The sequence below is a fragment of the Homo sapiens genome, chromosome 10, assembly GCF_000001405.40.
Source record: "Homo sapiens chromosome 10, GRCh38.p14 Primary Assembly".
Lineage (NCBI taxonomy): Eukaryota > Metazoa > Chordata > Mammalia > Primates > Hominidae > Homo > Homo sapiens.
In genome coordinates, this window is record NC_000010.11 from 11,739,469 (window position 1) to 11,764,070 (window position 24,602).

General features: G+C 48.0%; 1 protein-coding gene across 3 annotated transcripts, besides 2 other annotated features; it reads left to right on the forward strand.

Annotated features, from left to right (window-relative positions):
- Positions 2,774 to 2,963: a silencer, noted in NCBI's record as "silent region_2131". NCBI's record gives its function as "represses an Ori minimal core promoter by ATAC-STARR-seq in GM12878 lymphoblastoid cells {active_cell/tissue: GM12878}" and the evidence as "EXISTENCE:reporter gene assay evidence [ECO:0000049][PMID:35858748]".
- ECHDC3 (enoyl-CoA hydratase domain containing 3) lies at positions 2,914 to 24,602 on the forward strand. 3 transcript variants are annotated; one of them, XM_047425750.1, is made up of 5 exons: positions 2,914 to 3,437; positions 7,881 to 8,002; positions 10,027 to 10,124; positions 15,940 to 16,140; positions 23,756 to 24,602. In XM_047425750.1, the coding sequence occupies exons 1-5, from the start codon at positions 3,109 to 3,111 to the stop codon at positions 24,074 to 24,076; spliced, it is 1,071 nt and encodes a 356-aa protein (XP_047281706.1). In that variant the 5' UTR covers positions 2,914 to 3,108; the 3' UTR covers positions 24,077 to 24,602. The 3 variants fall into 3 exon arrangements, with proteins under 3 accessions (XP_047281706.1, NP_078969.3, XP_011517991.1); NM_024693.5 differs by having other exon boundaries at positions 2,914 to 3,278; XM_011519689.1 differs by lacking the exon at positions 15,940 to 16,140 and having other exon boundaries at positions 2,914 to 3,278.
- Positions 3,004 to 3,323: a silencer, noted in NCBI's record as "silent region_2132". NCBI's record gives its function as "represses an Ori minimal core promoter by ATAC-STARR-seq in GM12878 lymphoblastoid cells {active_cell/tissue: GM12878}" and the evidence as "EXISTENCE:reporter gene assay evidence [ECO:0000049][PMID:35858748]".

Below are 24,602 nucleotides of genomic sequence, written 5' to 3' on the forward strand. Positions count from 1 at the left end.
AACGAATCCAACATTAAACATTCCTCTCCCAAGCGACTTCTTGCCCCCTAGATGGTGTCTATCACTGTCACTATCACGATCCTTTAACTTTTCAAGCTCATTTAAAGTGTTATCTGTAACCAGGATGCTGTGAAACACATACCTCTTCATCAGTTTACACAGCTCTTCCAGACCTTACCTGAAGTTACTGAGTCTGTTTTGATGTTTTTTTTTTTTTGAGACAGAGTCTTGCACTGTCACCTAGGCTGGAGTGCAGTGGCGCAATCTCTGCTTACTGCACCCTCTGCCTCCCAGGTTCAAGTAATTCTCCTGCCTCAGCCTTCCAAGTAGCTGAGATTACAGGCACGTGCCCCCATGCCCAGCTAATTTTTGTATTTTTAGTAGAGGCGGGGTTTCACCATGTTGGCCAGGCTGGTCTCGAACTCCTGACCTCAGGTGATCCACCCACCTCAGCCTCCCAAAGCACTGGGATTACAGTTGTGAGCCACCACGCCCAGCCGAGTCCGTTTTGTTTAAGGCATGTGAGCAACCTCAAAAATCCATGCCAAGTGGGGAGCAAAGGAAGCTCATTTCACCCCCACACCTCCATTTATCTTCTAAACTAATTTTCACCCAACTCAAGGTCTGGGTCCTTGTGAAGACATTTAAGTTTGCAAGAGGCACGTGGGTAATGACTGGTGGATTATTAATAAAATACAGAATAATAAAACCAGGACATGGCCAAGCATCTGCAGCTGTGTGGACCAATGAAAATCTGAAATCTTTCTGGTTTATGGGCGCTTGATCCTCCTTTGGCTTTGTGGGGCTGGGGGGGACAGATGTGGAGTGGAGGATGAGGGTGGGAAACTGGAATCTGATCATGTTACATGCCCAAGGGCTCTCACTGAAAGTAGGCCTCACCATCTTCCCCATTGCACCTCTGAACCATGTCATTACATGTCTACCTTAGAAAGGCCTGAAATTAAAAAATAATAATAAATAAAAAATAAATTCAAAAACCACTCCATAAGAAGCTGAAAATCTGTACTTCACATTTCTTTCCCTGAGCCCTGAGGTGGTCTAAGTCTTCCTTCATTCATTCCCACGGCCTCCCGGGAACCGTGTCTTCATCCTGAGTTATTTCTGCAGTGTTCCATCAGGCATCTGCGGGTCTTTAAAGGAAATGTGAAAAGGTAGCAAAGACACATCTGTGCAGCAGAGACATGTGGCACAGGAAAGAAGTGCAGAAATCAAAGCCAGGGAGAAGCCTGCTAGCCACCTAGAAATCAAATTGTGTCAGGGAGAAAGCCTGCGTGGAAAATAGATTAGAAAGGCACTGAACAAGAGAGAAGAAAGAAAGGCAGCCCCTGCAAAAGTTAATGAGAAGCAGAGGAGGCCGGGAGAAGCAGCCTGAATTTGAAAAGAGTCCTGCACTGCTTGAGGAAGGACTCAAGATTCAGTAAGTTCTATCGACTTCTGCCTGGGTAATGCGGTGGCCGTCCACCTGCATGTCCCTCTTTGCTCACCACGCTCAAACTGGGGGCTGCAGGCTCTGAAAGAAAACCAGGGAGGAGGGAGACATGAAAGGAATGGGAACGCAGGCCTAGGACTTCAGATGAGAGGGGACCCTCCATCCACAGCGCCATCCTTCATCTGACCTCCAGCCCCGTCCTGACTCTGTAACTACTAGGCCTGGTGCCAACAGGGCTGGTGAAATTGGTGGGAACTGCGATAATGATACCTGCCTGGACAACCCCGAATGTTGAAAGAGACGGCATAGGTACAGGAACTGGCAGAGTGGGGCTCCACAAAGAGCGACCTGTTATTATTAAATGTAGAAGCAGGTGGAAGTGGCCTCTGAGCCTTTCCATTTTCTTTTGAGACGGAGTCTCACTCTGTCGCCCAGGCTGGAGTGCAGTGGCACAATCTCGGCTCACTGCAACCTCCACCTCCCGGGTTCAAGCGATTCTCGTGTCTCAGCCTCTCAAGTAGCTCGGTCTATAGGCGCGCGCCACCATGCCCAGCTAATTTTTTATATTTTTAGTAGAGACGGGGTTTCACCATGTTGGTCAGGCTGTTCTCGAACTCCTGACCTCAGGTGATCCACCTGCCTCGACCTCCCAAAGTGTTGGGATTACAGGCGTGAGCCACCGCGCCCAGCCGTCTTTCCATTTTCATCTGCGCAGTCCAGGCTCGGAGTGCTCTCCTAGCTCCTTCGTCTTCCCGAAACCCCGTGTATCAGTTCCCTCTTGCACCAGCTCCCCTGTGGAGTGGGGCCTCCTCATCTCCTCCCAGCCAGCGAAAGTCATCTTAGTAAGAGACCAGCAGTGACCCTAAGCCCTGGGGGCGGTCACTTTTATCAGGCTCTGCGACCCCCGTGCTCCCCCGTGCTCGGCCTCGTCGGTGGCACTTGGCATGACTGGGAGATCAAGCTCAGGTGTTCCGGAAATTTAACTTTATTTTGTTTATGAACTCACTTTCCATTTCCAGATACCTGGAGGCAGAAACTTAAAGTGTGGACCCCCAGCGTCTGGATGAGAGGACACAAAGGATTAAAAAGTCAACATCCGCGCAGCCAGGCCCCCCACGTGCTCGCCCTCCAGGCTCGGGGCGTTTCCCAGGCAGGTAGGGGAGCGGTTGCTAACAGTGCAGCGCCAATCACCCCTGACGCTCGTTTTCCTAATGCAGGCAAACGCCACATTCCCGGTGTTGGTGCAAAAAGAAATCATCCTACTCCTCCCCTCGCTTAAACTTTCCCACAGGCCTTGTCAAACAACCCCTGGAGCCGGCCTGCAGGTTTTCAATGCGCGCCTTTCACCGTGCGGGGCGCGGCGGGGAGCGGCGAGCCGGGGGCGGGCCTCGTGGGGGCGGGGCGGGGCGTGCCGGGGCGGGGAGGGGCGTGCCGGGGCGGGGCGGGGCGTGCCGGGGCGGGGCGTAGTACGGACTGGGCCTGGCCTGGGGCGTCCCCGCGAAGCCTGGGCCTGTCAGGCGGTTCCGTCCGGGTCTCGGCCACCGTCGAGTTCCGTCGAGTTCCGTCCCGGCCCTGCTCACAGCAGCGCCCTCGGAGCGCCCAGCACCTGCGGCCGGCCAGGCAGCGCGATCCTGCGGCGTCTGGCCATCCCGAATGCTATGGCCGCCGTCGCCGTCTTGCGGGCCTTCGGGGCAAGTGGGCCCATGTGTCTCCGGCGCGGCCCCTGGGCCCAGCTCCCCGCCCGCTTCTGCAGCCGGGACCCGGCCGGGGCGGGGCGGCGGGAGTCGGAGCCGCGGCCCACCAGCGCGCGGCAGCTGGACGGCATAAGGTCAGCCCCGGGCCGCGCGGGCTCCTCGCGTTGGTGCCGAGTCGGGGTCAGGGCGCCGCCATTGACCCGGGGAGGACCCGGGGAACCGGAGCCCCGTTTACGCCCCTGGGGAGGGAACTCCCCGTGTCCCGGACCCGGGCCTGGCAGCGAGACGCGCAGGTGGGATTGTAGGGCCGTCGGTGGGACTGCCCGGGGCTCCAAAGCCCTCAGGGCAGCCTGCGGGGTCACTGGGCCTCCAGTCGCTGGGCCTGCGGAGAGGCCTGGAGAGGAGGGCTCTGGGCCCCAGACCCGGCCCTAGGGGAAGTGTGGGCTTGGTCGAGCTGCTCCTTGGCCCTCACACAGAGGCGCGGGGCTGGGGGCCAGGACAGTAAATAGGACAAAGTGCACAGCTTCCTGAGCGCTGCCCTTGTGGCTACGGGCCCAAAACTCTTAAAAATGTGCTTGTACGCCAACTGGAATCTGGGCGATGGAGTCATGAAGGTGGAGGGCCCTACCCCCTCCAGGCCTGAGCCGGGTGCTTGCCTGGCCGGGGCAAGGGTGCAAAGGGAGGCCTGCGTACCGTGTTTCAGCATGTTTCAGTTCTAAATCAAGCTATTAAATAAAACGTCGTCTTCTCCTACCCTGAGATGTTCACCTTCCGAAGAAGACCTAGAAGGCCGCCTGTGAACTGATAATCCTCAGATGACCAGGTGGTTCCCCGCAGGGGTAGAGAGCCAGCCCGTGGCTTCAGCGTTTTCCTTTTCTCCTCACCCTCCTCTCATCCTTTCCTACCTTTGCACCCGTCCTTTCTGCTGCTCTGCAAGGGGCTGGGTGCACAGATCTGCAGACACCCTTCCAGCCCTCATGCTCTACAGACAGCTGCTCTTGGCCACCTTTGGGCTTGGGGTGCCCACAGCAGGGGCAGGGAATTCCAGGGTCTCAGTAATGGCCGCAGGGTTTGGAAAGGGGATGGTTCCCTTCCCTGTGGACCCCTTGCTCATCAACTACAGGAGCACAGGCCAGAGCAGGGCCCAGGCCAGGGTCTTTCTTGCCCATTGCTAAGTTTCTGCTTCTGTAAATCTGGTCACATCTGGTTGGAAGCCTGACTTCTGGGCATGGCGGCCAGATGGCAAAAAGGAGGCCGGTCGAGTTCTCCAGAATTAAATATGAATCAGCAAAGGTGGTGACTGAAACACTCTCACATGAATGCTAGGGTTTGTTTAGTAGGAAAGGAAACTTCTTAACCAAGCATTAAAGCAGCATTATGTTGGGCACTAAGCAGGTGAACTTGAGCAAGAACTTGAGCGACCCACCACTCTTCAAGTGTCCCTTTTCCATGCTCCTCCTCCCAGCAGCACTGCTGTCATGGACCCAGGGCCAGCTCTGTGCTGGGCTCCCTGCATCCATGATCCCTAATTCTTAACAGTGGCCTGCAAAGTGGATAATTTTATGCCCACTTTACTGTGAGGAAGCAAGTTCAGAGAGGTGACAGCCTGTTCAGGGCCACACGGCCAGTAGGTCTCACCAGGGTTCAGAGAGGTCCCTCTGCCCCAAAGTGGTTTCTACTCTGTTTCTACTCACCACTTGGTTTGAAAAGAGATGGTGAAAAAATGGGGTGTGATGTCATTCCACTGCATTCGGTGGAATTGGCTGTGAAAAAATAGAAATGCTATTTTTTGTCCTTAGGTCAACAGATATTGAGTGTCTTCTCTGTGTGAGAACATGACAGTCCCTCACTTCAGGGACCTTCTCGTGGTTTACAATAATGATCTTCAGACAGCTCATGGGGGCATTTATAGGGACCATCTCTTACCTTGACACTTATCACATGCTCTGGTGGTGACCTCATTCTTAAAGAGGTTTTCTCTTCGGATAGGTGATATTGGTGGAGCTCTCGGTGCAAGGCATCGCATGTTTTGAACCAAGATGGCCACTGGGAGGGTTCAGTGAAGAGATTTTTTTAGGAGGTATTATTAACAGGCTTTGATGCCAGTTGAATCAGGAAGGGATAGAAAACTAGAATGACTTTTTCTCTCATTCAGGCAATTGAGTGGCACTGCTCAGATAAGAAAGAGAGGAGAGGGCCAGGTTTGAGAATGGGGGAATGCCCAAAGACACCTAGATGGAGAAGGCCAGTAGACATCGGGATGAACGCGTGCACCTGGAGCTCAGCTCAGAGGCAGCTGTTGACATCAAAGTCATCGGTGAAGTTGCCTGGGAAGAGTGTGGAGGACAGAATTCAGGATGGCTGACATTCAGGGGTGAACAGAGGGCTAGTAGCCCACGAAAGAAGTCAAGAAGGACCGACCAGAGAAGTACAAAACAACCAGGAGAGAAGAAATCTGTCTCCAGAAGGAGGGAGTGATCAAGATGGCCAGTGGATTTGGATCTGGAAATTAGGAGATGGTTGGTGAGAAGAGCTTGGGTGGGGTGGGAGGAGCTGAGCCTGGTTCCTCTGGGTTGGAGAGTGGACTCTGCAGTTTAGAACACTCACAGTGTGGGAGCCAAACAGCTAACAGGACACATGAACAGATTCCGCGGCGCACAATGGCCTCGGGGGCTGGAATCTTTTTATACAATTTTGCCTGAGACCTTAGCACTAAGATTAAGCATACGTCACCGATGGGATGGCAGCTTTTTATATTTGCTACAAGAAGCACCCTCAATATTTGATGGAGAGGTTTATAAGCAGTTCTCCCACCACCCCCACCAAATATAAGTTTTGAAGTCTATCAGCAAATCAGTGCAAGTAATTTTTGTACTTAGGAGAGAACAATGTTTATAAGAAACAACAAGATGAATAGCACAGCCACTTGAAGACTGCAGCAACCTTGAAATGGTATTCCAAAGAAAGTGGTTATTCTTATTGAAATCAATTCAGTCATCAAACTTGTTTTCCGGAAAACCATGACACAGAATACTATTTATGGAGGATCCAAGTTGGCTGTACCGCGGAAGGAATATCAGATTCAAAAAAGATTGAGGAAGGTAGGAAACCTGTAGGTGAAAACTGATAGGAAACATATAAAATATATAATAACAATCTGGTGTTTGGCTCTTTGCCCATTTCTTGTAACAGCCAAAAATAAGACATTTCTGTGTATAAGCAGCAAGATGACAATACAGGTTATTTTATTCAGCATGTGGGATGCCTCAAAAGAGCAAACAGGCCCTTTGGACGCCAGCTTTTTGTGAGAGGATATGTCCAGAAGAGCCCTCTTGCTGTGTGGCTTGTACTTTTTTCCTTCATGTATCAGCCCACTTGCAGACAGCATGAATTGTTTTGTAAACTTACAGGATGCCACTGTAAGAAAAGACGGGCCTAGGTGCAGTAGCTCACGTCTGTAATCCCAGCACTTTGGGAGGCTGAGGCGGGTGTATCACCTGTGGTCAAGAATTTGAGACCAGCCTGGCCAACATGGTGAAACCTCAGCTCTACTAAAAATACAAAAATTAGCTGGGTGTGGTGGCACACACCTGCAATCCCAGCTACTTGGGAGCCTGAGGCAAGAGAATCACTTGAACCCGGGAGGCAGAGGTTGCAGTGAGCTGAGATCATGCCAATGCACTCCAGCCTGGGCAACAAGAGTGAAACTCCATCTCAAAAAAAAAAAAAAAAAAAAAAAAAAAGATGGAGTGGGTACAGAAAAATAGAATGAATGAATAAGGCCGAGAATTCTATAGCACAACAGGGTGACTATAGTCAATAATAATTTAATTGTACATTTGAAACTAACTAAAAGAGTATCATTGGATTGTTGATTTATCCTTTGTCATCCACAAAGGATAAATGCTTGAAGGGATGGATACCCCATCTTCCATCACGTGATTATTGCGCATTGCTTGCCTGTGTCAAAACATCCCATGTACCCCATAAATATATATACACCTACTATATGTACCCACAAAAATTAAATATAAAAAATTGGGTCGGGCATGGTGGCTCATGCCTATAATCTCAAAACTTTGGGAGGCTGAGGCAAGCGGATCACCTGAGATCAGGAGTTCAAGACCAGCCTAGCCAACATGGTGAAACCCCATCTCTACTAAAAATATGAAATTAGCCAAGTGTGGTGGCGGGCACCTGTAGTCCCAGCTACTCGGGAGGCTGAAGCAGGAGAATTGCTTGAACCGGGGAGGTGGAGGTTGCAGTGAGCCGAGATCTATAGAGGGAGTTATTTTCATTCTGGGCTCGTTTTCTAACTTTTTTCTAAGGAACAATGGAAAGAAAGCAGTGGAAGGTAGCCACTGTTTGTCAGATTTCTCCAGCGCCTGCTATCATGCTAAGCTTGCAGCCTCTCTGGGTGGTGTTGATTTTGGAACCGCTGTGCATTGCCCTCTCCGTGGAGGTGGCAGTCATGTTTCTGACAGCAAACATGGAGAAAAAGAGAAACAAATCAAGGGAAGAGGGAGGAAACCCAGCCTGCATTTCAGGTCGCCTTTTTCTTGTTTTGACTTGGCTGTAACTCCAGAGAGTTGACAGACCCTCTAAATTGGCACTAAGCCCCAGCAGTTCTCCTTTCTTGTCTGTTAAAAATACCTCCTAAATTAGACAGGAATCGCAGGGGTCCTCACTTGTTTTGACTGGTGTGTGACCCTGTGATTGTAAAATGTTCTTCACAGGAACATCGTCTTGAGCAATCCCAAGAAGAGGAACGCGTTGTCACTTGCAATGCTGAAGTCTCTCCAAAGTGACATTCTTCATGACGCTGACAGCAACGATCTGAAAGTCATTATCATCTCGGGTATGTATCTGATATCTGTCCTTAGTATTCTGCAGTGCCCACAAGAGCTTTCTGAGTCTTTAGTAAACTGGGGCATCCCTTTATTTAACTGGAGAATTGTTTTGAAGCTCCTTTACAAGAACATTAATTATGGAAAACACCTGTGTAGTTGGTGGTTTGGTCCTAACGCTATTAACTGCAGAATTTATAACAAAGATGACTGTTCAGTGAAACTATGTCTTTTCCTTTTTGTCAGATACTAAAACATTTCTGTACTTGGCTATACTGGTCTTCCCCTCAAAATCAGAGAACTGATTTCTTCATGGACCTTATAAAATGGGTTTAACCACTAATCCTTTGGCGCATTTGATTGGTCTGACTTTTCTTTTCTTACCAAGCTTTCGAACTGATATCTGCAGTGCCTTTAATGGTGCTGGAAAAGATGCCATATTCTGCTAATTTGTTTGCTTGCTCCAAAAGGAATTTTTACAGAATTATTTTTTCTTGTGATGATGGGACTGGTATAAATAATAGTAATATTAGCATTTTAAAGCATACACAAAAAAATATGATGATGATGCTTTGTGATGCTATGTTTGTTTGGCAAATCAAGCATCAGTGTTTCTGGAGGCAGAAACTCAGAATGTTACCATCTTATCCATGGTTAATCAAAAGTGTTCAACTGTTTTATATGGTGAAGAGAAAAGAAATTAGAACTAGTACAGTCCAGCAGCCATGTGGGATGTTACCTGGATACAGCAAAGGCAGTTAACGTCTTCTTTTTTTTTTTTTATTTGATACATAGTCTTGCCCTGTTGCCCAGGCTGGAGTGCAGTGGCATGATTATAGCTCATTGCAGCCTCAAACTTCTGGGCTCAAGTGATCTCCCACCTCAGTCTCCTGAGTAGCTGGGACTATAGGTGTGTGCCACTACACTCAGCTAATTTTTTATTTTTTGTGGAGATGGTGTCTTGCTATGTTGCCCAGGCTGGTCTCGAACTCCTAGCCTCAAGCAACATTGCCACCACTGTGCCTGGCTAATTTTTAAGGTTTTATTTTGCAGAGACAGGGGTCTCACTATAGCTTCTTAACTACATAATTACCTCACTTACAAAAAGACAATAATATTGCCTATCAATCAAGATAACTACAACAGCCAGGCATGGTTGCTCATGTCTGTAATCCCAATACTTTGGGAGGCCAAGGCGGGCAGATCACTTGAGGCCAAGAGTTCGAGACCAGCCTGGCCAACGTGGCAAAACCCCATCTCTACCAAAAATACAAAAATTAGCTGGGCGTGGGGGCAGGCACCTGTAATCCCAGCTACTTAGGAGGCTAAGGCACAAGAATTGCTTGAACCTGGGAGGCAGAGGTTGCAGTGAGCCGAGATCGTGCCACTGCACTCCAGCCTGGGCAACAGAGCAAGACTCTGTCTCAAACAACAACAACAGCAACAAAAGGGAAGTATGAGAAAATGTTATCAGCTCATCAGTAGGATGACATTTTCTTGTTGATGACAGCAGTGATAGCAGCCACATCTTATGATCCCTCATCTGTAAAATGAAGACCAGAAGGCTTCCGAGGTCTCTTCCTACCCTCACCTTCCCACTTCAGCCATGACGGCTGGCCACTACTTGTAGATGAAATGACATGGACACTGCCTTCGGCATGGGGGATTTTGATGAGCTTGTGTGACTCAATACACTCAGGCCAGAGCGAGTCCCCAAATAAAGGCTCTGTATAAAATACCTTCGCCTTGGTAACTGAATCTTCTCCTTATGTAATTGTGTATTTCTATCATTTTCCATGAAGAAATTTTAGGACACGGAGGCACCTAAAAAATGCCTCGCCTTGCATTTTTCATCACAAAATTCTGGCTGGAACTTTTCAAGCAAACTGGAATTATTCTTCTCAAAATTAGGCCATTAACTTGCTCTAAGTGAAAGTTTGCTGAAGTTATTCAGTAGACAAGGAAGGGAACTAACTGCCCAACTCTGGGTGTTTACATCTTTTTGTTTTCTTTTCTCAATTGGAAACATTTGCAGCTGAGGGGCCTGTGTTTTCTTCTGGGCATGACTTAAAGGAGCTGACAGAGGAGCAAGGCCGTGATTACCATGCCGAAGTATTTCAGACCTGTTCCAAGGTAAGCCAAGACGACAGTCGACAGTGCAAACCTGCAAATGATCATTACATTAAATGTTGAGTTCGCCTTCGACCTTACAGATAAGATTTTATCCATGAGACCCAAACACCCAGAGCAACTGGAAACTGTTTGGTCATCAGATCCTTTATCCCAGCAATCCAGCAATTATTTGGTTTAGACCTTTTTTTTTTTTTTTTTTTTTTTTTTTTTTTTTTTTTTTTGAGACAGAGTCTCCCTCTGTCGCCCAGGCTGGAGTGCAGTGGTGCAATCTTGGCTCACTGCAACCTCCGCCTCCCAAGTTCAAGCGATTCTCCTGCCTCAGCCTCTTGAGTAGCTGGGATTACAGGCATGCACCACCACATCTGGCTAATTTTTGTATTTTTAGTAGAGACGGGGTTTCACCATGTTGGCCAGGCTGGTCTCAAACTCCTGACCTCAGATGATCCTCCTCCCTCGACCTTCCAAAGTGCTGGGATTACAGGCATGAGCCACCGTGCACAGCCTAGTTTAGACTTTTAAGAAGTGACCATAATTTGCTATTGATTTTGTTTTATACCAAAGAAAGTGGAATATAGGATGGTACTCATAGTTGCCATGTCTAGCATTGTGGGAGTATGTCTTGGTATAGAAGTTTGGAGTAAGAAGGAAAAGGTGAAAATGTGCGTCTTTAGGGAAGAAGAATCTCAGATTATAATAATTTTAAAAGATTTTAAACTAAAACAACTCTATTAAATGGGAAAGAACATTAATAAATGGAATAACAATAATGGTTTTTAAAATTATTTTTGAATGCTTCTTTCAACCAGCCTTTATAATCACCACCTCCAAGTAGGAAAATTAACCTCTTCGTTGTTGCTTCTTTTCTGCCTCTTTCACCATATTAAGGAGGAAAAATACCGACAGCCACAGAGGAAGAAGAGGCACAAAAGTTTTGGATGATTTATAAAGGCATGAAATCAACCCCTTGGGTAATGAAAAATTGAATAGTGAATCCAGCTTTAAGTAATACATTGTTCATCTAATGACCATTTATTGAGCACCTATTATAGTACCTGCAAGACATTGAGGGAAACATAAGAAAAAATTGTTTTCTGCCAAACTGAAACTGAAAATCTATTTGGGAAACAACACATATAAAATGGTTTCATAACCTGCCTCTAAGATAGTTTAACCTAATTTTTTATTCATTCATTGACTTATTCATTCATGTATTTGGTCATTAATGATTTCACAGATGTTTAATGATACAAGACAGAAGTGAGCAACAGGGATGTGAATGGGAAGATGATTAAGACATCCCCATTTGTTTTCCTTGCCCTTCCAGAAACCCATAAAGAGATCAGGTTATATTTTTGTCACTACATGGAAGGATAAACAGGAACAGCAATTTACTCGAAGCTTCATGGGGAAGTGGGAGCAAGTTAGAGCCGAGACCTGGGTCTTTCGTTTCCTACATTAATGATGTTTATGTAACATTCCACTCTTGGGTTTGCCAAGCCTTGGTGCTTTAAAAGTTTTTTTCTACCAATACCCAGTATGTTTGGCTAAAGTTGAAAAGCATCAAAGAGAACCAGTAAAGCCCTTTTATCCTCCCTAAGGGTCTGCTTTTATCACTCTGCTCTGGTAACTTCATGAACTGGGATCTAAACAGCATAGCCATGGGCCACAGGGGAGCAGGCCTTCTTCAGAGGATAAAGCCCAGATTTCTTGGAAGCCCCTAACCCTTGGAGGCCTCTGACTCCCTGAAAAAGACTCAGTGCATAAACAGGGCCTACCCCAAAGTAGTAAAATAGGACTGAAAGTGTATTGATATCTTTAAACCATTTCTAAGAAAATAACATTGTCTTGGATAAATATGAGTGCCATGAACTTGTGCAAGATTTCCATTTCCAAGTGAAATCAACAGCAGATTGGAACAGAATGAGCTAGATATTTCATTGTTCAGTTCATGCATGAGAAAATTTGATTTTAGAAAGGAGGATAGAGGTATCTGAATTAGCTAAGCATCTAAAAACTATACCAATTGGTTACAGATGACAAGTACTGCATGATAGTTAATTATATACAAACCAGGAGTAGGGCAAATTAAGGATGAGTAGAATGAGAATGAGAAGAACTTGGCTCTGGAAGAGTGAAAATGACCTGCCATGGCGCTCAGGTTAGAGACTTCTTCCTTGTCTCTCTACTTACATCCTGTTGAAGTTTGGAGACGGAAACTCTAGTTTAGGAGAAGATTCTGCACTTTGCTCTCATACCCCGTCAATCAAATGACAATGGGACAAGATTTCTTGCTTTGGGGAGATAACATGAAACCCTTAGCGATGCTGTTAAAGGAGGTTAGGGCAGAGTTCTATTTATGTCACATTTTGGAGTCAGCAGACCCAAAACAGTACCTAATTCAGGAAGGTCAAATAGGTATAATCAGTTCTTGACTATCAAGTGTTTGATTATTCTAGCTTGTTGATTATTTAAATTCCCTTTGTCTTTTTTGAACTTCTCTCTAACTTTATATTTTAAATAGTCTTTTTTTTTTTCTTAAGACAGGGTCTCACTCTGTCGCCCAGGCTGGATTACAGTGGCATGATCTCGGCTCACTGCAACCTCTGCCTCCCGGGTTCAAGCAATTCTCCTGCCTCAGCCTCCTGAGTAGCTGGGACTACAGGTATGCACCACCATGCCCGGTTAATTTTTTTTTTTTTTTTTTTTTAGTAGAAATGGGGTTGCACCATGTTGGCCAGGCTGGTCTCAAACTCCTGACCTCAAATGATCCGCCCACCTTGACCTCCCAAAGTGCTGGGATTACAGGTGTGAGCCACAGCACCCGGCCTAAAATAGTCTTAATCATGAAAGTAATGAGTACTTGTAAACAGTTTTGAAAGTCTAGAACAGTAAAAGATTACCGATGTCATACCATAATCATACCACCCAGAGAGAACCATGATTAATATTTTGCTGTATTTCCTTTTAGATCATTTTTCCATGTGAACCTGTTTTTCTAAATAATCATATATAGATGAGATTACAGTATAGAATTACGTAATATGATTATAGCATTGATTGCTTACTATATGCCAGATAATATTTTAAGTACTTTAGATATGTTAATTTATATAACTGTCGTGTTCTATAAGGTTGGTGCTATTATCATGTCCATTTTACAGATGTGAAAATTGAGGGGTTAAATGACTTGTCCAGGATTAGGCAGAGTAAGTGACAGACTGGGCGTCAAACCCTGGCAGCCTGGTTCCAGACCACTGCATAAGCTCCAGACTGCCATGCTGGTGTTTCTCTTGGAAATTTTCATTTCAGTGAGAATACAGCATCCTAGTCGATGTAGTTTAGTTTCCACTGCCATTTATTTATTTTGTATATTTATATTATTTATAGTTTGTTACTATTACAAAATAATGATTTGGTGAGCATCTTTGGCATAGAGCTTTTTACCTATTTCACATTATTTCTTAGAAGTAGAATTCCTAGATCAAAGGTGAATGTATGCATTTTTAGGCCGGTCACAGTGGCTCACATCTGTAATCCCAGCGCTTTGGGAGGCCGAGGTGAGTGGATCAGTTGAGGTGAGGAGTTTGAGACCAACCTGGCCAACATGGTGAAACTCTGTCTCTACTAAAAATACAAAAAAGTTAGCCGGGTATGGTGGTGTACACTTGTAATCCCAGGTACTCGGGAGGCTGAGGCAGGAGAGTCACTTGAACCCGGGAGGCGGAGGTTGCAGTGAGCCAAGATTGTGCCACCGCACTCCAGCTTGGGTGACAGAGCAAGTCTGTTTCAAAAAAAAAATTAATAATTATATGCTTTTTTAATGTTGAATATATACATATTACCTATTTTTCTGCCAAGTTTTATGAAATCCTAGCCATTCACAGATGATGGACAGGACAGGTAGACTGTTCAACTCTAATCCCAGTCAATTGGCTTTTCATTAGTAACTTCAGTTCCTTGGGTGGTGCAACAACACTCAGAACGAAAACAAAATCTTTTCTTTCTTTGCAGCAAGACTTTAGAAGTTCTTGGGATTTCTTCCCCTTGTTATTCATTCCAGTTCACTGGTAATGAGCACTCTCACTAGCCCATCCCCAGTCTCGCCTTACAGTGCATGAACCCCCTAAATCCGTGAATAGTGTTGTGTACAGGTGTTTACTTATCTGTGCATTCTTCTTCTTTTTATTTTTATTTTTATTTGAGACAGAGTCTCACTGTGTCACCCAGGCTAGAGTGCAATGGCGCGATCTCAGCTCACCACAACCTCCACTTCCCAAGTTCAAGCAATTCCCCTGCCTCAGCCTCCCAAGTAGGCTGGGATTACAGGCACGTGCCACCACACCCAGCTAATTTTTGTACTTTTTTTTTAGTAGAGACAGGGTTTCATGATTTTGACCAGGCTGGTCTCAAACTCTTGACCTCAGATGATCCACCCACCTGTGTTCTTCTGAGGAGGATGTATTTCCTCATTTATCCTAGGGAAGAGAAATGTCATTAGCGTTTATCAGGTTCTCAAAAGGAGACCTCCCCCAAAAAAAGTCAAAAAGCACTACTATAGGATATGATACCATAGCCTTAAATATATAATTGGTTATTTTAGAAGAAAGCTAACAAATATCAAACGTTTATGGATATAAAAGATAAGCTTCTTAGACAAAATCTTCAAATCAATGAAGGTCATTTGTCTTTGAATACCTGCCTTGGGGTATTCCCATCCTCTCTCCCTGCCAAGGTTCAAAGAGCAGCACTTTAGAAATTGAAGTTACCATAGCAACACACTCTGTGGCATGAAAACATAAGCTGCAAAAATAAGTTAAAGTTCTGGAAATGTATTGGTTGGAGGGGTCACATTAGCATATTTTTGTCTCTCCTCTCTGTGCCAATGGCTCTATTTTAGGAATTTTGTTTACTTTGATGACAGCAGAGTCCCCCCACCCCCATTTTAATAGAATTGGGAGCATCTTCATGGTGGTAATTGGAGAAGTAATTATTAAGAAAACTGCCTTCAAGGCCCTTTTCCACCTCAATTTTTCAAGGAAGCACCAAATACCAGCTTCAGACCTTTAACCCAAGAGCTTCACACAAGCACAGTGAGGACAGAACTGTCTGTGAAGGGTTTGATTTGTTCCCCAGAGAGAAAAATCCACACTCTTCTTCAGCACATTTGCCAGGAAGGCAGGCGGGGGTCTGTCACTACTCAAGAGCTGAGCTTGGGGCCACCCCCTGCGGCAGCCCCCACCAAGCTTAGTGTCCTTGTTGTACAATAGGGCTCTGTCCCCATGGGGCTCTCAGAAAGACCAAATTACAGTGCCTGGTTCAGAGTAGATATTTAATAGGAGTTAGTGCTTTCTGTGCCTTTTTTCACCCTTCTTCCATAGAATCGGATAAACTCACGCTTATGAAAAGTGCTCTGGAAACAGGAAAGTCATATAAAATGAGAGACGTTGGCTGGGCGTGGTGGCTCACGCCTGTAATCTGAGCACTTTGGGAGGCCAAGGTGGGTGGATCATTTGAGGTCAGGAATTCCAGGCCAGCCTGGCCAGCATGGTAAAACCCCATCTTTACTAAAAATACCAAAAAAAATTTAGCTGGGCGTGGTAGCCCATGCCTGTAGTCCCAGCTACTCAGGAGGCTGAGGCAGGAGGATGGCTTGAACTCGGGAGGAAGAGGTTGCAGTGAGCCAGGATCTTGCCACTGCACTCCATCCTGGGCAACAGAGTGAGACTCTGTCAAAAAAAAAAAAAAAAAAAAGCAATAGGCGTTAATGTCGTGCCTCCCTCTGGGTGGAAATGAAGTAGGTGTGTTTGTCCCGCAGGTCATGATGCACATCCGGAACCACCCCGTTCCCGTCATTGCCATGGTCAATGGCCTGGCCGCGGCTGCCGGCTGTCAACTGGTTGCCAGCTGCGACATTGCCGTGGCGAGCGACAAGTCCTCTTTTGCCACTCCTGGGGTGAACGTCGGGCTCTTCTGTTCTACCCCTGGGGTTGCCTTGGCAAGAGCAGTGCCTAGAAAGGTAATTTAACTCCCCCCACCCACCTCTGCCTCCCAGCCTTCTCCGGAGTTCCTCCTCCAGTGCATGCGATGATTCAAGATCCGCTTGTTAAAAGTGCCTTTCATATCAGGACGTTCTGCCCAGAGTGCCTCTGGCTAGATGGGCCAGGATGTTCCCTCTAATGGCAGGGAGGGAAGAGCCGACCGCCTGCCTGTTCCTCTGTAGCTTCTGACGCCAGGCGTCAATTTGTGAAATCACTGCATTTCCATCATGCGTACCCTCAGTACCACTGGGTAGGTTTGCCGATTAGTTTTGTTTGTCTTCCTAATGGCCCATATTTTGTAATCTTATTTGAAATGCAATTGAGACTCAGTTTTGTTGCACTGAATGGTTGCCCATGAGATAGAATAGCGTACTGACATAATGCCAGTATCAAGAGCCTAGGATAGTAGTGTCGCTGGCTCACTCTTCATCAACAGTCTGTCTTGTTCCAGAACGGATTTAGAATAGGTGATTTCTGGAGTGTGTTGGGTTTACAACGGTTGCATTTCAGGAACATGAATCTCCTGTGCGTGGTATGTTGAATCTGCCCAAGAAGGAGCCGTGTTGCAAAGTGGTTTTGTTAACTACAGTGAAGTCTGTTTCCGCCACAAAGCTTTCTTCCTTCCTATAACATCATAAAATAATATTTCCTAAACTTCCCTCAAGTGTAAACCAACAGTGTTCTTGTTGCGGAAAAAGTGCATCCTTGTTCTTAATTGGAAATCTATAAAAAAGGGGGCAGAATCTTAGACCACACCAAGCAAAGAAGCTAAATTGCTTTCTAATGTATATGATCTGCTTTAGCATCAGCTGTGAAAATCAGCAATTGCTCACATGCCTAAGACGCAAAAGAAATAAGATCCAAGGGAAATCCAGTAGTAGGACCAAGAAGTTTAGGGAAGTATTCCTTTCTTTTGCAGTGCCCCTTTGTTAGTTTTTGCAGAAATGTGTGTTTGTGGGGAAATTCTGAAGACAGATACCTGCGAACACACACACTTAGGACAGTGGGCTGGAAGTGGGCTTCACACTACAGTAGGTGCCGGCTGGCTAAAGTGTCTTCAGACTAAGAGGATGTTTTCGATTCTGTCAAGATAGACACTTACCTTAAACTCATTCAGTAATTTTTTTTTTTTTTTTGAAACAGAGTCTCGCTCTGTCACCCAGGCTGGAGTACAGTGGCGCTATCTCAGCTCACTGCAATGTTCAAGGGATTCTCCTGCCTCAGCCTCCATAGTAACTGGGATTACAGGCACGTGCCACCATACCCGGCTAATTTTGTATTTTTCGTAGAGATGGGGTTTCACCCTGTTGGCCAGGCTGGCCTCAAACTCCTGACCTCAAGTAGTCCGTCCCCCTCGGCCTCCCAAAATGCTGGGATTACAGGCGTGAGCCGCCGCACCTGGCCCATTCAGTAAATATTTCTTAAGACTCTACTTTGTGTATAACAAATTGATTGTCAGAGCTTATTCATAAACTATCTTATAATGGTGCAAATCAACTTACAAGGCCTTTGTCTAATAAAAGACAGCTGTGCTGACAGCTGCTTGTCCTCTTCAACACCTGATGCGCTGGAAGGTTCCACAGTAAAGCACTTGAAACCTTGAAGTCAGCCCTACTGTCTGGATAAGAACCCATTCTCTCTTAAACTTTTGAAATCAAGGCTTATTAAATTTGATTCCTAGAAACTTAACGCTAGACCATATTTATCAAGTTTTAAATTGATAAAATTTAAAGTTTTTGAGAAGAAAAGGGGGAAAATATGACAAAAACAGGCCTTAAGTTCCAAGGAAGCCCAGTCTTCAGAAACCCCATTTCATAATCACCCAGTTGGATGAACCAAAGTAGCTTTTACCTCCCAAGGACAGAGCTTCTCAGAAAATGGGGCAAAAAATCTCCAGACAGCCCTACTCAGGTTCCTGGTCTCTGTTCTCATGTTCTGACCCCCAGAAGGCCTCTAAATCACTCAACTGGAGACTCGCCAGTTTTTTCTAATCAGCTGCCTGAAAGCGGTTCAGAGTTCTGTCAACAAGCCCTTGCACGCTGGGCTTATTAATGCTGGGCCACTCAGAGCCATGACTCAGGAACATGGCTTGGGGTCAACACTGAAAAGCAGAAATCACAGTACTGATAATGGGAATTTTGCAGGAAGAAACAGGCTTTTGGAACTTAATGCCTTTGTTAGGTTTCTGGATTTGCAGATCTAATTGTGTGGGCCTGCTTTAGGAGGAAAAGCTGGGATTCATAACAATCTAATAAACCTGACCCAAACCACCTGCCCGTTGTCTTTGCTGATTGTGCGCATGTGAACCCATCCACGGACATCCATGCACAGGCCCACCGAGTATTTTGGGGGGTGGGTGCGTGTCCCTCATACACCCACAGGGAAGCTAGCAGGTACTTTGCAAACTGGCCTGGGCAGGAAGTTGGGCCTGTCTCACACTGGATAAGACAACATGTATGGGTCACTAGTGCCCTCTCCTGGCCGCCGCAGGGACCTGCTTGGCTGTGCTGGAGACTGGGGCAGAAACTATGCAATCAAGCCTGTCTGTTCAAATCAGACCAAGCCTGGACATGAATAATATTCCCCATTTGTAAAGAGCTTCTCTCCTTGGGCATGATCTAAATAATGCATCTTTCTGGCACCCTATAAAACACCCTGCCTGGCGCAGCTGCTCCGTTCCCAGGCAGAGCTGGCCTTGCTCAGACCCTGAGCCAGTGCCTCAAGCAGCCGGCCTCACTGGAGAGCACGTGGGAAATGAGAAGCCCTTCCTCCCAGAACAGTCATTTTCTTGAGGCAGGCAGACTCTGATTTCCTAATCAGCTAATGAGAACAGAGTGGGGTTTCCAAGCTGGAAAGATGGTTAAAGCCCGCTGCTCAAACTGGTGCAGATGTTAGAGAGCCTGGGAGAAAGGCTGGGTCTCCAGCCTGCCCCAGACAGGCTGCGTTTTAGCAGTGATTTGTGTGGCCAGAGGTTGGGAGTGAAGTTTTAGAGGACGCACAGTTCCACACCCAGTTTGCAAGAGGGTCTGGGAGTTTCAGGGCCTCGTGTCCTGTGTCCGGCCAGTGAGATGGGACCCATGACCCTCACTCCAGTGTGCTTCCCTCAGAGCCTGGCCATGTGGCAGCCCCAGGGACAGACCCTGCTGGTGCCATGGTGCCAGTGCGAATGCATGTGTGTGTGTGCACAAGTATCCCATGGGTTCTGTTCAGGCCTGACTCTTTCCGTAGTGCTCCTTCTGCAGCTCCTCACCCTGCTGCTGGTGCTCCCTGGGAGACAGATGCTATGTGCTGTGGTCTCAATGCTGTGTCCTCCCCAAATTCCTGTGTTGAATCCTCACTCCCAAGGTGATGGTGTTGGAAGGTGGGGCCTTTGGGGGTGATGAGATCATGAGTATGGAGCCCTTGTGAATGAGATCAGTGACTTTATGAAAACAGCCCCAGGCTGGGCGTGGTTGTCTCATGCCTGTAATCCCAGCACCGTGGGAGGCCAAGGCGGGTGGATCACCTGAGATCAGGAGTTCGAGACCAACCTGGCCAACATGGCGAAACCTCGTCTCTACTAAAAATACAAAAATTAGCTGAGTATGGTGGCGCATGCCTGTAATCCCAGCTACTCGGGAGGCTGAGGCAGGAGAATCACTTGAACCCTGGAGGCGGAGGTTGCAGTGAGCCGAGGTCGTGCCATTGCTCTCCAGCCTGGGCAACAACAGCAAAACTCCATCTCTTAAAAAAAAAAAAAACAAAAAAAAAAAACACGCAGTCCCAGAGAGCTGCCTTACCCCCTTTTTCTCCATGTGAGGACACAGCTAGAAGGCCCCGTTTACGAACCAGGAGGCAGGTCCTCACCAGTCGCTGAGTGCCGGCACCCTCACCTTGAACTCTCCAGCCTCCAGAACTTGTGAGATATAAATGTCTGTTGTTTATAAGCCACCAGGCTGTGGTGCTGTGTTCCAGCAGGCTGAATGGACTAAGACACCACACCCATGCAAAGGGGCATGACGTGGGGAGAGTCCCTTGTGGGCTGTAGCACACGGTTCTTGCCATTTGGGTGGCCTATGAGATCCAGAAGACCCCTCTGCTTTAAATAATCACCCCCGTTCCAAGGCTGGGGTAACCATTTAAAAGCCAGCATTAGAGATCATGGACCATCTGCAGTTGGCCTAGTTGTGTTAAAAAATAGGTGTTGCATTCACTGGGTGCCTACTGAGTGCCCAGGACTGTTATTATACGAGCCTTGCACCTGCTATCTCTAATCCTTGCAATACTGCAGGAGGTGCTCATTTTTGTTTTCCAGATGAAACAAACTCCAAGGCGTTAGTTGAAGGTCTTGTGGTTAGTAAGTGGCAGAGCTGGGGTTGGAACTCAGGTACATCTGGCTCAGCCAGGTCCCTTGAGCTCAAACCAGGTCCCTGAGCTTTTCTTCTGCAAGCAAAATCTTCATAGTGACCTCCCTGATTTATGTCTGGCTCAGATGGACAATTTTTCCCCCAGCCTTTCCATTGTACTTGATGTGACAGTGTGCCCTGCTGTCATTAGTTAGTGGCTTCTTCACTGTGTCCCTTGGTGATGGTCATTTGTACCCGAGCGTGCTGGCTGCGGAAGTGAGAGGTGAGAAATGGCTTGCTCAGAGGTCCCAGGAGGACCAGTGCCCAGCAGGCTTGGGACCAGGCCCCGCCTGTGAAGCTTGGACTCCAAAGGACTCAACCCCAAAACATCTGGGGCATTTGGAATTCCGTGCAGTTCTGCAGCTACACACTGCCGGCCCAGGCTGCAAGCCCCCCACCTGGGATGAATACTTGCCCATCTGCTGAGCCGGCCAGGAAGGAACACTTACTACTTTGGATTTACTCTTTCCTCCTTCCAGCTCTGACTCCATTCTTAACGACTCTGAGAGTCATCTAGGACTTGATCATTGCAAGTGACAAAGGGATCGATAAGGTTGACTTGGGTGGCTTTCGTTGTTTTTTCTTGTTGCATCAGTTTTTCAGGCTTGGCCACTTTCTGACATTTGGTCCCTCTGAGTTCCCCAAGAGCCGCCTGTGTCAGTGGAGGGTAAGTGGCTGGGAGGAGCTGTGACACGGTCTCCACCTTGGCTTCTGATCCCAGCTGACACGCAGTTCAGGGGCAGAGATGGAGCAGAGCACTGTCCTGGCCCCGTGCTGTGACCTGCTAGGTGTCTTCAGCAGGGTCCTATTTCACAGCTGTTCACAACAGGATCCGCTTTTTAGCTCCTGGTTCAACCAGGGCTTCAGACACGCTTTGGCATGAAGTGCTCTTCCTGGTCAACTAAAAATGGTCTGCCCTGGAACCCCCATAGCTGTCACGTTCCTGCTTCCTCCAACGTAAAATCGGTACAGTTCCAAAACAGAGGTGGTGATTTAGTCCATGCCTTTAACTTTACAGAGGAGAAAAGGAGGCCCTGCATCACCCGTCCCTGGCTGCCAGCCCAGTGCATGTGGGCTCCATCTCCACCCATGGTGGCAGGAGGGGCCTTGGGCCAGGCTTCTGGTCTCTCTATCCAAGTTCAATTCTGGGGGATCCAATCTAGTCCTGTGGCTTAAAAACCTTCTAGATCCGTGGTTCTAAACTGGGAGCAGTATTGGCCCAGGGATATGTGGCGATACCTGGAGACATTCTTGATTGTCACAGCTTGGTGGGGGGTAGGTACTACTGATAACTAGAGAGTGGAGGTCAAGGATGCTGCAGAACATCCTGCAATGCACAGGACAGCCCCCACCCTCCCTGCAAAAGTTATCCAAACGTCAGTATCACCAGGGTTGAAAAACCCCACTCTACATGCTGATGCCTCCCCTGTGTGTGTCTCCGGCTAGTCCAGCTGTCACCAGGCAACAGGCCACCCACAGTATAGTAGCTCAAGACAACAGAATTTGCAATTTGGACAGGGCTTAGCGAGGAAGGCTTCTCTCTGCTCCAGAAGGTTGGCAGCCTCAGCTGGGGATTCATCTGAAGGCTGCTTGCTCACGTGTCTGGCTGTGAATGCTACCTCTCAGCTGGGCCCCCACAAGGGTAGTTGGCGGCACACTGCACCCGGCCTCTCCGTGTGGCTTGGGCTTCCTCACAGCATGGAGGCCAGGTCCCAAGAGCAAGAGCCAGAGCCAGCTGCAAGCTGTATCACCTCCTTGCCCTTGTCTCAAAGGAACCAACCTGCCACTTGTGCTGTACTCTGTTTTCCTGCCTGCCTGCCTGTCTTCCTCCCTCTCTCCTTCCTTCCCTCATAAATATTTGATAAGTTGCTTGCTATGTGCAGGACAGTCTTCCAGTGCTGGAGATACAGAAATCAACAGAAGACTAAAAAAAATGGCCAGGCATGGTGGCTCACACCTGTAATCCTAGCACTTTAAGAGGCCAAGGCCGTGGGGTCACTTGTGCCCAGGAGTTCAAGACCAGCCTGCGTAATATAGTGAGACCCCATCTTGGAAAAAAAAAAAAAAATCCTGTCCTACTGGAGTTTACATGCTACAAAGGACATACACTATAAACAAACGTGAAATATATAGGGTGTTAAATGGAGAGAAGTGCAAAAGATTTAAAATGTAGCCAGACGGGAGTCGCATCAGGGTTCGTTTTACACTTGGAGCAGGGCGGCCATGGAAGACCTCAGTGATAGGGGATGCAGGACCAGAGGCCTGCAATGAGGGCGTGTGCCAGGATGACACCCAGGGAAAAGTCACCCCAGGCAGAGGGACCAGCGAGTCCGAGGACCCTGAGGTGACGGTGCATGGGCGTATTTGAGGAACATCAGGGATGCCACCAGGATTGTGAGAGCCTGAGTGACGGGTGGGGAAGGGAAGGGCCCCTGCCTGTGTGTCCTTGTGCACCTGGGGACCCCTCTTTTCCATTTTAAGTTTGACTTTAGAGGAGCCAGGCTTGGTAGCGTGCAACAGAATTGGTTGGTGCAGCACGCAGTGGTTGTGAAGCAGAGGACACGGTGAGGAGGGAGGGAGCTGGGCTCCCCCGCTCTTCACCAGCCCTGGAACCTCAGGGGAGGGTAGTAGGAGGGGAGAGGGCATCCTTTCCTTGCCACATCTTACCGATTGGTGAGTTAAAACCATGCTGGGCTCTACGTCTGGTCCCCAAAGACATTGTCTGTAAATCCTTGCCTCTCCGGGAGGCTGGGTCTGCTCTTTCCAGTCAGGCCAAGGTGACAGCCCCGTGACTGCTTATTGTGGGAGGTGGCCCCAGTGGGTTCTGAGAGGTACTGGAACCCCCACTCCCCGCCACCCCACCCCCATACTGCAGTGTCTGTGGGGCATCCCATCTGATGTGGCTGCCGTCCTGTGCTTGGCCCTCAAAAGAGGTAGACGAAATCCCCAGCCGTGGCAGGGCTCAGTGACCAGATCTTTGCAGGAGCAAGAGAACACGGGACAGCCACTGCTCCCCTGGGCCTGGTGTGGTTTCTTCGCTCTTGGAAAGATCCGCTCTCCTCCCGGGCAGGAGTTAGGGCACTGAAGACGTCAGGGCTGGCGGATGACGTGGTATTTGAGGAAGCAGGTCATTGAGCCGAGGCGGGACTCAGGTGGCGGGGGCGGGTCACAGGAGAGCACCTCAGTGACATCCCGTGTCTCCCCGTAGGTGGCCTTGGAGATGCTCTTTACTGGTGAGCCCATTTCTGCCCAGGAGGCCCTGCTCCACGGGCTGCTTAGCAAGGTGGTGCCAGAGGCGGAGCTGCAGGAGGAGACCATGCGGATCGCTAGGAAGATCGCATCGCTGAGCCGTCCGGTGGTGTCCCTGGGCAAAGCCACCTTCTACAAGCAGCTGCCCCAGGACCTGGGGACGGCTTACTACCTCACCTCCCAGGCCATGGTGGACAACCTGGCCCTGCGGGACGGGCAGGAGGGCATCACGGCCTTCCTCCAGAAGAGAAAACCTGTCTGGTCACACGAGCCAGTGTGAGTGGAGGCAGAGGAGTGAGGCCCACGGGCAGCGCCCAGGAGCCCACCTTCCCCTCTGGCCCAGCCACCACTGCCTCTCAGCTTCAACAGGTGACAGGCTGCTTTCGTGACTTGATATTGGTGTCATAGCATTTGGCCTACATTAAAAGCCACAATTTCATGGGGAAAGGACAAAATGGAGAGTGACTGAGGTGCTGACCTCAGTGCAAGGCTGGTGAACCCTGCAGCGGGCCAGCTATGGTGGGAAGCCTGGCATTTGGGGTGCTCCTTGCAACGTCTTAAGCAAGCGACCCCCCGACATAGCAAAAGGTGGCAACCCATGGAGGCAGAAAGAAGGACGCCAGCCTGACCCTTATCTGAAACGTCCTAAGCAGAGTTAATCCTGGCTGCTCAGGAGAGGCGACACATTTCAAATCTCCACGAGATATTCTCCACACAGAAAATCTTCTTGATTCTATAGAGACTTAATCATGCCTATGGCTTTGAATAATCTTATGTGATTTAAATAAATTAAATCTTTATAGAGA